Source organism: Homo sapiens, chromosome 22 (assembly GCF_000001405.40).
Source record: "Homo sapiens chromosome 22, GRCh38.p14 Primary Assembly".
Lineage (NCBI taxonomy): Eukaryota > Metazoa > Chordata > Mammalia > Primates > Hominidae > Homo > Homo sapiens.
In genome coordinates this window covers 23,786,174-23,802,481 of record NC_000022.11, presented here as the reverse complement: position 1 = coordinate 23,802,481, position 16,308 = coordinate 23,786,174, and the positions used below count along the sequence as shown (strand labels likewise).

The 16,308-nt window shown below is 51.1% G+C and overlaps 1 protein-coding gene across 4 annotated transcripts in view, besides 1 other annotated feature; it reads right to left on the bottom strand.

Moving 5' to 3' along the window:
* SMARCB1 (SWI/SNF related BAF chromatin remodeling complex subunit B1) overlaps positions 1-15,516 on the bottom strand; it is a 51,044-nt gene extending 35,528 nt beyond the window's left edge. The window contains exons 1-4 of one of the 4 annotated variants that reach the window (NM_001362877.2): positions 15,220-15,516; positions 10,588-10,726; positions 8,794-8,923; positions 1,347-1,538 (exon numbers count right to left, since the gene is read on the bottom strand). In NM_001362877.2, the coding sequence (NP_001349806.1) occupies positions 1,347-1,538; positions 8,794-8,923; positions 10,588-10,726; positions 15,220-15,312 (554 nt within the window). In that variant the 5' untranslated portion in view covers positions 15,313-15,516. The remainder of the gene's footprint in view (positions 1-1,346; positions 1,539-8,793; positions 8,924-10,587; positions 10,727-15,219) is intronic. The other 3 variants (NM_003073.5, NM_001317946.2, NM_001007468.3) reach the window with 3 other exon arrangements.
* Positions 9,664-10,164: an enhancer, noted in NCBI's record as "H3K4me1 hESC enhancer chr22:24134505-24135005 (GRCh37/hg19 assembly coordinates)". NCBI's record gives its function as "activates a minimal SCP1, AML or CMV promoter by ChIP-STARR-seq in naive H9 embryonic stem cells {active_cell/tissue: H9 hESC(naive)}" and the evidence as "EXISTENCE:reporter gene assay evidence [ECO:0000049][PMID:30033119]".

Below are 16,308 nucleotides of genomic sequence, written 5' to 3'. Positions count from 1 at the left end.
GGGAAGAGGAGATAGAGGGAAGGAAGACAGAAGGAAAAGGAGGAGGGGGTAGGATGGGAGGGAGGGAAGGAGGAATGATGGAAGGAAGGAAGGAGGAAAGGAAAGAGGGGAGGAGGGAGAACGGGGCTAAACCTCAGCAGAGGCAACTGCAGGGCAGGAGCTCTGGGAGGTCTGACAGCAATGAGGACGTTCTCAGGCCTGAGGCAGGGTGAGTGGGGCAGAGTGCAGCGGTGGCAGCACCAGGCCAGGTTGGGCCTGGCACCCCAGTGAGAACTCCTGCTTCTGCTCCGAGGGTGATGGGGAGCCTGGAGGATTCTGCGTGGAGAGGTGACATGATCTGCCTGGAGCAGAGGCCACACCAGCTGCAGAGCTGAGAAGGCAGCAGGGAGGGGAGGTAGGGGCTGCTAGAGACCCCAGGGAGAGCAGTGGGGGGCTGTCTGAGGCAGTCCCAGGGGAGAACCTGGAGAGACTGGACTTGCTGTGTGAGGAAAAGGCAGGCCTTGGGAAAGAAACCTACAGCCTGAGCAAGGAGAGGGCTGGATCTCCACGCGCCGAGATGGAGAGGTCTTCAGGCAGCATGAGGCTGAGGGGGTGAGGGCAGCTGAGGAAGTCTGGGCCACAGAGGTAAAAAACAGACCCCGAAGACATCTACAACTTAATCCCCAAAACCTGTGACTGTCAGCTCATATGGCCAAAAAAGGAGACTTTGAAGATACGATTAAGTGAAAGATCCTGAGAGATTAACCAGAAGGGCCCTAAATTACATCGCCAAGTGTCCTTCTAAGAGAGAGACAGGGAAGTTTCATGCAGAGAAGGCCACGTGACCACAGAGGCTGAGACTGGAACGTGGCAGCCCCCAAAGCTGGAAGAAGCAAGGACCGAATCGCCTCGATGGCCTCTGGAGGGAGCATGGCCCTGTCCACACATGAGTCTGGTCTAGTGAAACTAAATCCAGGCTCCTGGGCCCCAGAACTGTGAGGGAAGAAATGTGCTCTGCTCGAAGCCACCAGTTTGTGGTGGTTTACTCCAGCAGGCTCTGGGAAATGGTGGCACAGTGGGAGTCACGTGGATGGCATCTGCACCATCAGACTGGCTGTGGCCCACTCATGTGAAACTGAGGGCAGAGAAAGGGCCCAAGGACCGCGCCCTGAGTAACTCCACTTGAGGGGCCAGAGAGGTGAGGAGGACATGGCAAGGTGACAGCAGACAGAGCCAAGGAGGCTATGGACAATGTCCTGGAAGTCAGGGAAACACAACAGTTCAAAGGCGAGGAGGTACTGTGGCGTTGTGGGGAGCACAAGGTCAAAGCAGAGTGTTTTTCTGGGGAGGAAGGAACTGAAACGTGCTGGAGAACTAAGGCGGAATCAGCACGGAGGGTGAGTGCAGCGATGCATCCACACCAAAGGGGGAAGGTTCTCTTCTTGTCTCGGCCCATGCGGTTCCTGTTGATGGTTGTGGAGCATGGCACGGCATCTAAGTGGTGGGAGCTGTTGGGCAGGGTGGGTACCCACTGGCTGTTCCTCTTGGCCTTCTGTTCCCTGAGGAGATACAAGAAAAGTCCTCCCAGTCAGTATAGGAGCCTGATCCTGCCCACCAGGAATCAACTAATGCTCCAGGGATGCCCACTGTACCTCTGTCAGGCTCGAGGCTCCCATGGGAGTTGTCTGTGCACCTGACTTTGCAGGAGCCTGCTCCCCAGGCTGTCATCAGATGCTAGAGGCACCTGGGCAAGGGCAAGGGTACGTAGGGGCACCAGACACAGCACGGCCATGGTGTACTGCACTATGAGCCAGGCATGGCTCCACGGAAGCACTTCCTGGATGCGGGGAAGTGGTACAAGGGGGAGACTTCCCAGAGGAGTGGATAATAGAGCACAGCCTTAGACACTGAGTCAGGGTTCACTGCGGGGAGGGGCACGGGCAGCAGCAAGGAGGAGAGACTGAGGGGCAGTCCAGGGAGGAGGTCCCCAGGGAGGGGACCGATCACAGGTCTCACATGCTCCGTGAGATGACTTTACTCAGCAGGTGGCTGGGAGTCCCCAGGGTTTTGAAGGAAGAGACATGATCAGGCTGTCATTTTAGACATACCAGCCATCCTGAGATGGACTAGGCAAGGCCTCTGGCCTCTCAGCTTCCACAGCAGTAGAAGTTGAGAAGATGGGTTGATAAATACCTTCCAGAGGTGACATCCAAGGTAATTTAAATAACCCATGTCCCATGAAGCGTTTGATCTTTTCTCCCAAATTCCAGGTTGCTTTTACCAAAAGCACCAGGTGCAGTGGCTCATGCCTGTAGCTCCAGCACTTTGGAAGGTCAAGATGGGCAGACCACCTGAGGTCAAGAGTTCGAAACCAGGCCAGGTGCGGTGGCTCACGCCTGTAATCCCAGCACTTTGGGAGGCCAAGGCGGATGGATCACCTGAGGTCAGGAGATCAAGACCAGCCTGGCCAACATGGTGAAACCCTGTCTCTACTAAAAATACTAAAATTAGCCAGGTGTAGCCGGGCGCGGTGGCTCACGCCTGTAATCCCAGCACTTTGGGAGGCCGACGCGGGCAGATCACGAGGTCAGGAGATCAAGACCAGCCTGGCCAACATGGTGAAAGCCCGTCTCTACTAAAAATACAAAAAATTAGCCGGGCGTGGTGGCAGGCGCCTGCAGTCCCAGCTACTCAGGAGGCTGAGGCAGGAGAATGGCGTGAACCCGGGAGGCAGAGCTTGCAGTGAGCCAACATTGCGCCACTGCACTCCAGAGTGGGAGACAGAGCAAGACTCCGTCTCAAAAAAAAAAAAAAAAAAAAAAATTAGCCAGGTGTGATGGCAGGAACCTGTAATCTCAGCTACTCAGGAGGCAGAGGCAGGAGAATCACTTGAACCCAGGAGGCAGAAGTTGCAGTGAGCCGAGATTACACCATTGCAGTCCAGCCTGGGCAACAAGAGCGAAACTCCATCTCAAAAAAAAAAAAAAAAACCAAAAGGTGAGTTCGAAACCAGCCTGGCCAACATGGTGAAACCTCAACCCTACCAAAAATACAAAAGTTAGCCAGGCGTGGTGGCACACGTCTATAATCCAGCTACTCAGGAGGCTGAAGCATGAGAATCACTTGAACCCAGGAGGCGGAGGTTGCAGTGAGCCGGGATCAACCACTGCACTCCAGCCTGGGCGAGAGAGCAACATCCTATCTCGAAAAAAAAAAAAAAATACCAAAAGCTGTTTTAAACTAAGGCTCCAGGGCTGGGTGAAACAGATGAGAGCATTTGGGTGCCCGTTGTGCTCTGTGCTTTTCCATTTTCCCTGGCAAGGCTGTGAGCAGGAGCAGGCAGCGACTGTGTGTCACTTCCCTGTGTAACCCCAACACCTGCGCAACCACTTCCACAATAACTATTCAACCATTCAGAGCAAGTCATGACAAACTTTTTTTTTTTTTTTTTTTGAGATGGAGTCTCGCTCTGTCGCCTGGGCTGGAGTACAGTGGCGCCATCTGGGCTCAATGCAAGGTCTGCCTCCCGGGTTCACGCCATTCTCCTGCCTCAGCCTCCCGAGTAGCTGGGACTACAGGCGCCCACCACCACGCCCGGCTAAGTTTTTTGATTTTTAGTAGAGACGGGGTTTCACCCTGTTAGCCAGGATGGTCTCGATCTCCTGACCTTGTGATCCGCCCGCCTCGGCCTCCCAAAGTGCTGGGATTACAAGCGTCAGTCACCGCGCCCGGCCGACAAACGTTTGACAGTTCCCTCTAAGGAGGGACCCGGGAAGACAGCACAAAGGTCCTTCTCCTTTCCAGAGGGTGGGGGAGGGCAGAAGCAATGGCCAAGACCTGCCTGGACTCTGGGCCCTTTAACTCTTTTCCCTTCTAAAGTGGGAATCACTTACACGTCTGATGCTGAGGCTGGGACTACCCCTTGATCGCTGGTAGGGGTAGGGAGGATTTTGTAGTACCCAATTTGGGGAACATGGAATCAGCTTGGGCAGAGACTATGAGAGGGGACAGCAAGACAGGGGTCCCCTCTACAACCTATCTGGGTCATAGTTCCTAATCCTGGCCGCTCAGAGTGCAATTTTTAAATTTTTTTATTTTTATAGAGATGGTGGGGTCTCACTATGTTGCCCAGGCTGGTCTCAAACTCCTGGGCTCAAGCAATCCTCCCACCTTGGCCTCCCAAAGTGCTGAGAGTACAGGTGTGAGCTACAACACCCAAACCCAGAATGCAAAATTTTAAGAAGCACATTCCTGAGCCCCACCCAGGTGGAGTGACTTCCCACCTCTGAGGAAGGGCCCAAGAAGATGTGTTCTTTGCAGCTTCCACGGGTGATTTCCAGGTAGCTGAGCCTGTATTTGCAAACCACAGATCTTGACCACCTCCTCTTTTCTGACTGGATACGTTAGAGCCTGGGCTGAGCCCCTGCCCCCTCATCCTGCCCTATCTCAGTAGCAAGTTCTCATTTCCAGGTCTAGCTATCAACTCAAGTGGACAATGCAAGTGTCACTAGACACAGTGAATGTGAGTAACATGCTCAGCCATACACAGAATCTGCAAATCTAAGCCATAAAATTCAACCTTCTGGCCAGGTGTGGTGGTTCACACCTGTAACCCCGACACTTTGGGAGGCCGAGGCGGACGGATCACCTGAGGTCAGGAGTTCGAGACCAGCCTGGCCAACATGGTGAAACCCCGTCTCTACTAAAACTACGAAAAATTAGCTAGGTGTGGTGCCTGGTGCCTATAATCCCAGCTACTTGGGAGGCTGAGGAAGGAGAATGACTTGAACCCGGGAAGGGGAGGTTGCAGTGAGCTGAGATCCCGCCACTTCACTCCAGCCTGGGTGACAGAGCGAAACTCGATCTCAAAAAAAAAAAAAAAAAAAAAAAAAAGGCCAGGCGCAGTGGCTCATGTCTGTAATCCCAGCACTTTGGGAGGCCGAGGTGGGCGGATCACAAGGTCAGGAAATCGAGACCATCCTGGCTAACACAATAAAACTCCATCTCTACTAAAAATACAAAAAAAATTAGACGGGCGTGGTGACAGACACCTGTAGTTCCAGCTACTCGGGAGGCTGAGGCAGGAGAATGGTGTGAACCTGGGAGGCGGAGCTTGCAGTGAGCCAAGATGGCGCCACTGCACTCCAGCCTGGGCGACAGAGCGAAACTCCGTCTCAAAAAAAATAATAATAATAAAAAAAAACAGGCCAGGCCCGGTGGCTCACGCCTGTAATCCCAGCACTTTGGGAGGCCGAGGCGGGCGGATCACGAGGTCAGGAGATCAAGACCATCCTGGCTAACACGGTGAAACCCCGTCTCTACTAAAAACACAAAAAATTAGCCGGGCGAGGTGGCGGGCGCCTGTAGTCCCAGCTACTCGGGAGGCTGAGGCAGGAGAATGGCGTGAACCCCAGGGGGCGGAGCCTGCAGTGAGCCGAGATTGCGCCACTGCACTCCAGCCTGGGCGACAGCGAGACTCCGTCTCAAAAAAAAAAAAAAAAAGAAAAACAACCTTCCTTCCATTGCAATCCCAGCATCCCTGAGAGAGGGCACCCAGCCTCTGCTCAAATTGTCCGATGACAGGATGGGGAGGGTGCCATAAGTCCCCTTATTGGGCTGACTGAGTAGTGTGGAGCCAGCCAAAGCCACTTCCCTCAAACCTCTGCCAGCCCCCACCCCTAAAGACTTGACCTCCAGGGCAACGGGATTCCACTCCTGCAGCTGTTCCTCACGACATGATCACCAAGAAACTGTTTTATCGCCCCATAAAAGATTCCCAGCTGACATGTGCAGAATTAAAGTGCCCTCCATATGTACACAATTTCCTTCTGCAACTTCCCTGGGAAGGCCAAGCCATCCTTATGTTCTTACCACATCCCTTGGGGGAAAAAGAATCTGCAAAGCACACGTCTGTAACACTGGCCAGCCTGGAGGCGTGCCACCTTTCAGGGGAATCATAAAAAAGATTTTCCATAACCACATCACTCTGAACAATAATCCTTTTTCTTAATGCTCCTTGGGCTTTGTGCAGAGAAATGCATACTTTGTTGAGAGCTGAATGCACAAGGTAGATGGGTACAATCTTGTATTCTGCACGTCTCACCCACAGGACCCGTCTCGGGTCACTGCAGAATCTACTTAATTATACCATGTATGGGTCACACCTTTGTCCATTCAAGTGGCTGACCCGTCACTAACCTAGCCTTTCCTTAAAGGCTGGATACTTAAGCGACTCCATATTCTCCAGTATTATTCACAATGCTACAGAGAATCTCTGTACATATAGTGGGTTTACTGATTCATTTTGTTCTTTGAAAATGTTTCTTTGGGACAAATTCCCAGGGGCGGTATTAATGGGCCAGAGAACAAAAAAGTTTGATGTCAGGATGCTTTACAGAAAGGGCACTCCCGGCTGGGCACAGTGGCTCACACCTGTAATCCCACCACTTTGGGAGGCCGAGGCGGGAGGATTACCTGAGGTCAGGAGTTCGAGACCAGCCTGGGCACAATGGTGAAACCCCGTCTCTAATAAAAATACAAAAAAATTAGCCAGGCATAGTGGTGCATTCCAGTAATCCCAGCTACTCCAGAGGCTGAGGCAAGAGAATCGCTTGAACCCAGGAGGCGGAGGTTGCAGTGAGCCGACATCATGCCACCGTACTCCAGCCTGGGCAACAAGAGTGAAAACTCCATCTCAAAAAAAAAAAAAAAAAGCACCTCCAGCACACATGAGTGCAGTTCTATCACACCTTCCCCAATTCCTTATGTTGCCAGTTTTTTGTTTTATGCTTGGAATTTTTATTTTTATTTTTTATTTATTTATTTTTTATTTTATTTTATTATTTTGAGATGGAGTTTCACTCTCGTTGCCCAGGCTGGAGAGCAATGGCGCAACCTCGGCTCACCGCAACCTCCGCCTCCCGGGTCCAAGTGATTCTCCTGCCTCAGCCTTCCTGAGTAGCTGGGATTACAGGCATGCACCACCATGCGAGGCTAACTTTGTACGTTTAGCAGAGATGAGGCTTCACCATGTTGGTCAGGCTGGTCTCGAACTCCTGACCTCAGGTGATCCGCCCGCCTCGGCCTCCCAAAGTGCTGGGATTACAGGCGTGAGCCACCGTGCCCGGCCTGTTTTTTATTTTTTTTAAGAGACAAAGAGTGTCGTTCTGTTACCTAGGCTAGAGGACAGTGGTGTGATCACCACACTCAGCTAATTTTTTTAACTTTCAGTAGAGATAACGTCTCACTATGTTGCTCAGGCTGGTCTCCTGGGCAACACAGTCAAATCGTGGGCTCAAGCGATCCTCCTGCCTTGACTTCCCAAAGTGCTGAGATTACAGGCATAAGCTACCATGCCCAGTCTTATGCTTGGAATTTTTGAAATTACACATGAGGGCAAATTCTTTCCATGTTTGTTTACTCCCTTGTACTTCAAGGTATGGACCATCTTTTACCTATTTGTTGGGGTATCCAAGTTTGTTGTATAAATCTAGATGTATAGATTCTAGATACAACATCGTAACTTCCCAATTACTTGGTTTTTTAATTGTTACTATAAATACTCTTCTAAAGGTTCTAAGTTTTGTTTTGTTTTTGTTTTTTTTGAGGTGGAGTTTCACTCTTGTTGCCCAGTCTGGAGTGCAAAGGTGCAACCTCAGCTCACTGCAATCTCCACCTCCCGGGTTCAAGCAATTCTCCTGCCTCAGGCTCCCGAGTAGCTGGGATTACAGGCATGTGCCACCACACCTGGCTAATTTTGTATTTTTAGTAGAGATGGGGTTTCTCCATGTGGATGAGGCTGCTCTCTAACTCCTGACCTCAGGTGATCTGCCCACCTCGGCCTCCCAAACTGCTGGGATTACAGGTGTGAGCCACCGTGCCCAGCCAGGTTCTAAGTTTTTATACATTCAAATCTATTGTTGTTTCTTTTGTGAGTTTATGTGAGCCACTGATTTTTCTGACAAATTGGTCCCACTTACATGTTTTTTTAAGAAATGAGGTCTTGCTGTGTTGCCCCAGGCTGGTCTTAAACTCCTGGCCTCAAGCAATGCCTCGGCCTCCCAAAGCGCTGGGATTACAAACATAAGCCACTGTGCCCCACGAGTCCCACTTTCCAAGCATTTGTAACTGTTCTCCGGAATCCAGGACTTGGCTTACGTTTCTTAGAAATTCCAATGATATAGAAGAAACTTAGAAACCTGGCTAAGAAAATGTATAAAAACAGAGGGAACTGTTAAAAAGTGTTTCAATACAAAAATCAGGACCGGGCGCGGTGGCTCACGCCTGTAATCCCAGCACTCTGGGATGCCAAGGCGGGCGGATCACCTGAGGTGGGGTTTCGAGACCAGCCTGACCAACATGGAGAGACTCGTCTCTACCAAAAATACAAAATTAGCTGGGCGTGGTGGCGCATGCCTGTAATCCCAGCTATCTGGGAGGCTGAGGCAGGAGAATCACTTGAACCCAGTAGGCAGAAGTTGCAGTGAGCTGAGATCACGCCATTGCACTCCATCCTGGGCAACAAGAGTGAAACTCTGTCTCAAAGAAAAAAAAACTAGCCAGGTATAGTGGCAGGCACCTGTAATCCCAGCTACTTGGGAGGTTGAGGCAGGAGAATCGCTTGAACCTGGGAGGCAGAGGTTGCAGTGAGCCAAGATCGTGCCACTGCACTCCAGCCTGGGCGACAAGAACAAGATTCCATCTCAAAAAAAAAAAAAAAAAGTGTTTCAATTTAACTTCAACCCAACCAGTTCTTGAGTCTCAGAAAAGACCCCACAGGTGTCCCCAGAGATGCCCTGGCCAGGAACGCATTACCTGAGGTAGGTGGGGGGCTCTGTGCTGATGGACACAGCCTTGTACTTCTCATCGTTGCCATCCAGAATCTCTTCCACTTCCGAGGCTTTTAACAGGGTCACACTGGTGGCTAGAGTCGTGTATCCGTGATCTGTAACAGACAAACATCACTGGGTCACTCTGCTGGTGGCGGTGGCACACAGCAGCCAGCCAAGTGGATGCAGCACATCAAGGTCCTCGCATGCGGGAGGTGGGAAAAGCAAGGTGTCAAACTTACTACTGCTGAATGCTGGCCTCTTCCAAAAGGGCAATCTGGACTGAGTGCTTTACTTACAAGTCCTGCTGGGTAGAGCCTCCAATGGGACTGATTTGGACTAATCTGCCCCAGGAGCACTGGCTCGGGGCAGAGGGAAGTGCTCAGGGCAGCACCAGCAACTACAATACAGCACGACCAGCGGGGACACTCGACTCCAGAACATATTCTCTTGGTCCTCACTCAGGGGAAAAGAAAGCTCCCAGAGTAACACCCCAGTGGGAAGAGGTCTGACACCACCACAATCCACAACACGATGCAAGGTGGGGAGATGGAATGGAAGATGAAGAATACTTTTCTTTTAAAACAAGAGCCCAGAGAGTTGGAAAGAGCTGCTTCACACCAAACACGAATTTCTATCCCCGAGCCGGTCCACACGTGCTGCCTGGGAAGCAGGACAGATTCTAGGCAGCTCGACCCCTAGCTCTTCCGGGGAATCTCCGTCAAGAGCTACCTGTCTGTGGGCCCAGTCTGGCTTCTCCTGGAGAAATCAATCGCTTATGGGGAAGGTATCTCCCAAGACTTAGCCCAGGGACTTGCGGAGGGGGAAGCAAAGCTGGGGACTCACTGTGTTAGCGACTGATGCTCTGCTAGGGGAGGAGGGGGAACAAAAAGGAAACTGTTTTAAGCAAGTGAGTGGAAATGTCATAGCAGCAGATCAAAAAGAAGCTCCGGCTCCTGCATTAAAAGAACCACTACTTTCCCGCAGTGGACAAAACCACAGCAGCACCTACAGACACAAACAAACAGGGCAGACTACGAAGCATCGCGCACATGCTCACAGACACACCCAGGCCCAGGGCAGCTCTCTACAAGGCGCCATTGCCACGTGGGAAGCAGTTTTGCCACCTGCCCAAGGACATGCTGTGTCCACACCCAAATGTCTCCATGGGAGTGTCTCCCACAGAGCCCCCAGAGTGTCTGAAGAGCACCCTTTCACCCTGCACAGAGCTGCCGTGACCCAAAGCCCACTAGTTTCACTAGTGTACCTAGCAAGCCCCAGGCACACGCAGGCCACCAGGAGCAGGGACATGCACATGGGCTCTAGCACACTGGCTGCCAGGATGAAGTGCTATGGGATGGATGTGCTCCAGGAAGCAAGCAGTGAAAGCCCCAGAGGGGAGTGGGAGCTGGGACCACCACCCGCCACTTGGGCTGCATGGAAGATGATTATGGCGACACACCCACGACAGATGGCAGAGCATCGCAGCATTCCTAAAACGTTTTGAGACCAACATGTCTTCACAGCACCTGCTAGTGTCCTGGCCCCGGCCCGCTCACATACCCAATGGCCCTGCTGGAAATAACTGACAGTGGACCACCAATGGCTCCCTGGAGCCACTTCCTTGCCTGGAGTGCTCACAGGGCGGCCCACCCCGGGATGCTCCCTGCCCGACTAAGGCCAAGGCTGCAGTGAAGACACTCTGGAGTGAAAACGTTTTATCTTCATGACATAAGCGAGTGGTTTTGAAACAGGTTTACAAACCCTCGTGAAGACGCACCCTTAGTGTTAGGTTTTGTTTTTTTACCATGTGACGATGCAACTATTTTCTTCCTCTCTTCCACAGTGGCTAGTCGCCTCCAGAGTGAGGGGTATCTCTTGTACAGAGAACCTCGGAACATACGGAGGTAGTTTCCCACCTATGAGTAAAGCAAGAAGGCTCATTATAAGGGTCGCAGCACCACAGGGAAGGGGAGGGTCCTGGCGCAGACTGCATCAAGCAACAGACAAACAGGCCTTGAGGTGGCCCCCAGGCGCCACGCTTTCGGCAGCATTAAAACACATTCTGCTGATATGAAGGGTTCACCAGCAGTGCACATCTGGCCTGCATATGTGCATCCTGACAACAGAACCAAGTTCCGAAAGGCCTGGGCAGATGCCTGAGTGGGAGGCCCCCAGAGCTTAGCAAGAAGTTCGTGGTGATTTTGATTTTGGACTAAGGATCTCTGGCACTTTCCAGAAATGCAAGGCCTCCTTGACCTTCTTTTATCTTAAGGACAAGACTTTGATATCTTTACAATGTAATAAACACCAAAAAGGTCTTTTAATTTTAGACAGATGCCAGATAATTTCCCCCATGGCCTGTGTTGCTTTGTTTAGTAACAAAACCCAAACCAGGGATACCAAAGGAATTTTCCAAAAGGTTTACAAGGCAATCACCAGACTGCTATATAAATCATCACTGACTCAAACAATGGCTTCAGTTTGCTTGTAGCAAATACTGAAAGTGTGACTTCCTTAAGGAAAATAAATCTAGACCTAAAGTTTTTATGAGGGTACCCTATTGTCTCGTTGACTTTTCAAGTATGATCACTTCGGAGTCACATTGCAGGGGATGGCCAATAGACTGGGTGCCAGGTGCTGGCTCCATCTGTAACCTGGGATCACTTCCCATTTTCTGGGTACCCTTTACTCATCTGCCAAATGCTCAGCAACTCTGAACTTCACCCCCATGAAGGACCACTTCTATTATGTTTCCCATTTTATCTACGCAACATAGTATATATTTTGCATTTTTAAATTTATTTTTAATTTTTATTATTATTTTTGAGACAGGGTCTCGCTCTGTCACCCAGGCTCGATTGCAGTGGTGCGATCGATCATAGCTCACTGCAGCCTCGAACTCCTCGGCTCAAGCGATCCTCCTGCCTCAGCCTCCTGAGTAGCTGGGACTATAGTTGCTTGCCACCACAACCGGCTAATTTTTGTATTTTTTGTAGAGACGGAGTTTCACCATGTTGCCCAGGCTGGTCTCAAACTCCTGGGCTCAAGCGATCTGCCCACCTCGGCCTCCCAAAGTGCTGGGATTACGGGTGTGAGCCACATACCCGGCCTAATTAAAAAAAATAAAAATAAAAATCTGTAGAGACAAGAGTCTCACTATGTTGCCCAGGCTGGTCTTAAACTCCTGGGTTCAAGTGATTCTCCTGCCTGGGCCTCCCAAAGTGCTAGGATTATAGGTGTGAGACCCAGGCATAGTATTAAATAAAATGTTTCTCCATTTTCAGCAGTGACTGTAATCAACAACCAGGGCTACTGAACGCTGAGAGAAGAGCAGACACAGCAAGTCACTCGCTTTCCACATAGAGGGCACAGACCCCTCTATGTTATTTGGCTTGTGTGTCAGTATCATCCAGTATCATGGTAAATGTAGAGTTTCCATTAGGTTTTTTAAAAGAAATTGACAATACTCCCCCCTATGACTACCTTGCAGGCCCTGCAGGGCTCTGAGTCTCCTAGATGCCCCCCAAAGCCCCTTCAGAACTTAGGAAACTGGGCTTGCCTTCCTGGCTTTCCTCTGAACCAGCCTTCACCCTCTTGGGACCCAGGTTTCCTGAATATAAAATCAAGGTGCTGGACTTGGGGATCTGTTAGGGTCCTCAAAGCTCCATGACTCCGGCTTGGTAAATACAGCTGTCTGTTAATGGCAGAACAGTGACACACACTCTTAGTAAATGCAGATGCCTTCCCAAGACAGCTCCACAGATGGCGCATGGAGGCACTGGGTATGTTGCTATGGCTGGCCCACCTCTCTGAATACAGTGCCTGTTTTCCACAGGGCAGTGGGCTGAGACCGTCCATCCACTACTATCACTGGAGCTACTGAATTTCAATAGAGCTCTGACCTTGAACTCTTCCCTAAACTCCGAAGGTCTGATGATTAAGTCAGGCCCAAAAGAACAAACTGCCTCTCCAACTGAGTCTCTTACAGCCTGGGTCTCAGGAAGATTATTCTTACTGGGAGGCCCAGGAGTCAAGGGGCTGAAAGACAAGACTGTAATTAGCTTTCTAGAAACTAAAATGTGTTTTGGGGAAGATCTTGGAGACCATCTAGTCTAAGCATCACATTATACACATGAGAAACACGACAGCAAGGCAGAGCAGGGCTGGAACCAGGCCTCCCAAGGTTCTTCCCACTTGGCCACGCACAGCTTCTCAATTTGCTCCAACTAATAAATGAAAGCTTTCTTTTGAAGTGTCACCTACTTAGAGCCAAACTGATTACTTTTACACCCATTAGATCAGGTAAACAACTCGCCTAGTATCACAGGCTGAAATTTGACACCTTTTGCATTCTGCAGTTAGGCAGGTGCCTACTGGCCAATGAGGACCATTCTGAACTGTGGCAGATGGACAGGCACTGGCTCTACCTCCCCAGCACTGGCATCTTTGAACAGTTGTAATTTAAGTGACAACGTGAAAATTTTATTGAATCCTATATTTTTTGTTTTATAAAAATTAGTGGAGGCCAGGCACAGTGGCTCACGCCTATAATCGAGCACTTTGGGAGGCCGAGGCGGGCAGATCACTTGAGCTCACAAGTTTAAGACCAGCCTGGACAATATGGTAAAACCCCATCTTTACTAAAAATATAAAAATTAGCCGGGTGTGGTGGTGTGTGCGTGTAGTCCCAGCTACTTGGGAGACTGAGGTGGGAGGACGGCTTGAGCCTGGGAGGCGGAGGTTGCAGTGAGCCGAGATTACACCACTACACTCCAGCCTGGGTGATAGAGTCAAACCTCGTCCAGAAAAAAAAAATGGTGGAAAATGCTAACACTAAAGTTCTGATGCTATTGACCTTAGTCTCATCCATGGGACTCAGTGTGACCATCTTGAGGCTTCATTCATTCATGCTATGCTCAATTGTGAAGGATAAAACCCACAAGTTTAAAAAGTATGAATGCGCTGAGTGTGAGTGCAGTAGCTCACACCTGTCATTCCAGCACTTTGAGAGGCTGAGGTGCAAGGATCACTTGAGCCCAGGAGTTCAAGACCAGCCTGGGCAACATGGCAAAACCCTGTCTCTACAAAAAATACAAAAATTAGTCGGGCACGGTGGTGCACACCTGTAGTCCCAGGTACTTGGGAGGCTGAGGCAGGAGGATCGCTTGAGCCCAGGAGGTCAAGGCTGCAGTGAGCCGAGATCACACCACTGCACAAAGTGAGATCTTTTTTCAAAAATAAAAGAAAATAAAGTACGAATAAAATGCTGGAATATGATACTAAAAACTGCTATAAGGAGAAGAAACTCTTGGCATTTCATGATAGCTTTAATTCTCCAGGATTGGCACTTACTTCCTTACATGAGATTCTACTGCTTGACATTTGTACATCTGAACTGTATATCCATAATTTTTTTAAAAAGGTAACATATACTAGCTGGGGACTGCCTTTGGAGCAAAAAAGGCTAGTTTGAGACAATCTGTAAAAACCTAATATATGGCCGGGTGTGGTGGCTCATGCCTGTAATCCTAGCACTTTGGGAGACCCAGACGGGCAGACTGCTTGAGCCCAGGAGTTGGAGACCTGCCTGCGCAACATAGCCAGACCCTGTCTCTATAAAAAACAAAAAACAAGAACCTAATAGACTTGGAACAAACACCCATTCAAAGGCCAGTAGAGTTTTCCTGAAGTCAGTCATCCAGTTGATGCAACAAAATGCAGCCACTCTAGTTAAGGGTTAAACATCCTTAGGCTCTTTCCCCTGTAATAATTCAGAATCAGTTCACAGATATGGAAAGTGTCAATCGCTTCAGAACTGCTGAAAGATCTAGCTTAGGCATGGGGCCCTTATTCACCCAAAAGCAAACATCTTCCTCCAATCTGTTTCTTCACCGGTAAACAAAGGTCAAAAGACCTCCACTGCTCACCTAAGAGGCAACAAACACAATGGGGATGAGCCCTCACTAAGTCCAGGGTTTCCAGCCTGCCATTTGAGGTTCCCACAAGTAGCAATACGGGGAGGGGTGCACGTGAAATTTACGACATCTAAAAAGGGTCAAAGGCAGCAGTGCAGTCCCCCAAGCGTCGCAGGGGCTAACTCAATATCCCGTTTCTTTGCGTCTGACTGGAAACCAACCCAGCGCGGAACCACTGGGGCCCCTCGCGGCGCCAAAATCTTGGCAGCACTGAAGGCGGCGGACCTCGGCGAAATAAGTAAGGAAATCCCAGGTCGATGAGGGGGCGGGGGCCACACCCGACACGCCCACTAGGCCACGCCCCACAGCCCCGAGCGCGCGCGCGCGCGCCCGCCCGCCCCGATGAATGGAGACGCGCGCTCTCGGCGCATGGGCCCGCCCCGGGGCTCCCGCGGGGCCGAGCCCGGGGAGGGCGAGAACGCGCCCCGGGCTACCTCGGAGCCGATCATGTAGAACTCGCCGTCGTCCTCCAGCTGGAACTTCACGGGCTTCTGCCCGAAGGTCTTGCTCAGCGCCATCATCATCATTGCGGCGGCAGAGGCGGGCGGCCGGAGCCGGGCTGCGAGGGATCAGGAGGGCTGGGGCGGGGCCGGGGCGTGCTGGGCCGAGGGAAACCGAAGCCGGAAGGCGAAATGCGGACCGGGCCGGGTACTGGCGCCTCAGCCGGGCTCCTCAGCCGCCGCCGCCGCCGCAGACGACGACCAGGCCGCCCTCAGTGCGCAGGCGCTGGCGTTGACGCTGACGCGCGCGCCGCCGCTCAAACAAAAGGCCGGGCGCGCCTCCGCGGACCCCTTAAAGGAGCCACGACTAATTTCTCTTTCTCCCAGGCTGCCTCCCAAGTCGTGGTGTAGAGGACTTCTCACGGACAAAAATAGCCAATGAGGTCCTGACTCAAGCAGTGGCTTTCCCAGTCTTACAGCCAGGACTGGAACTGAGCCCAGGGGAAAAGCAACGAAGTGAGGCCTGAAGGAGGAGGACCTAGTATCTGGAAGCCTGGGTGGTCTGGGCATGCTTTGGGACCCCAATCTCGTGCCTTAGCTTCCCCACCCCTAAAACGCAGTGCAGCTGAGCAGATAGGCAGGCCCCTAGGAAGAGATATCCCAGTTCCGGGCCTACGGCTGTCCCTGCAGCTGTGGAGGTGGGCAAAATGACAACAGCGGATGAGGCTTGGCAATGTTCAAAGGCCCAGGTGGTATTTGGTTTGGCTGGTGCATCAGATGAGCGTTGGAAGGGAGAGACACCTTCCACCTTCTCCATTCCTCTCTTAGCCTACACTCTGCTTAACCGAGCCCTGCAGTGGGGAGTGAAACCAGGCAGCCCAGCCCTGTGGCTCTGCCTCTTGGCTCTTACAGCGCGAAGCTAGTGAAACTAATGAAAGTCTGAAAGCAATCATGATTGAATAATGCAGGGAGTAAAACAGTGGCCCACTACTGATGATTTCACACCGTTCAATCTAATGAAATTGCAGCTGTGGCTGGGCTCAGCGGCTCATGCCTGTAATCCCAACTCTTTTTTTTTTTTTT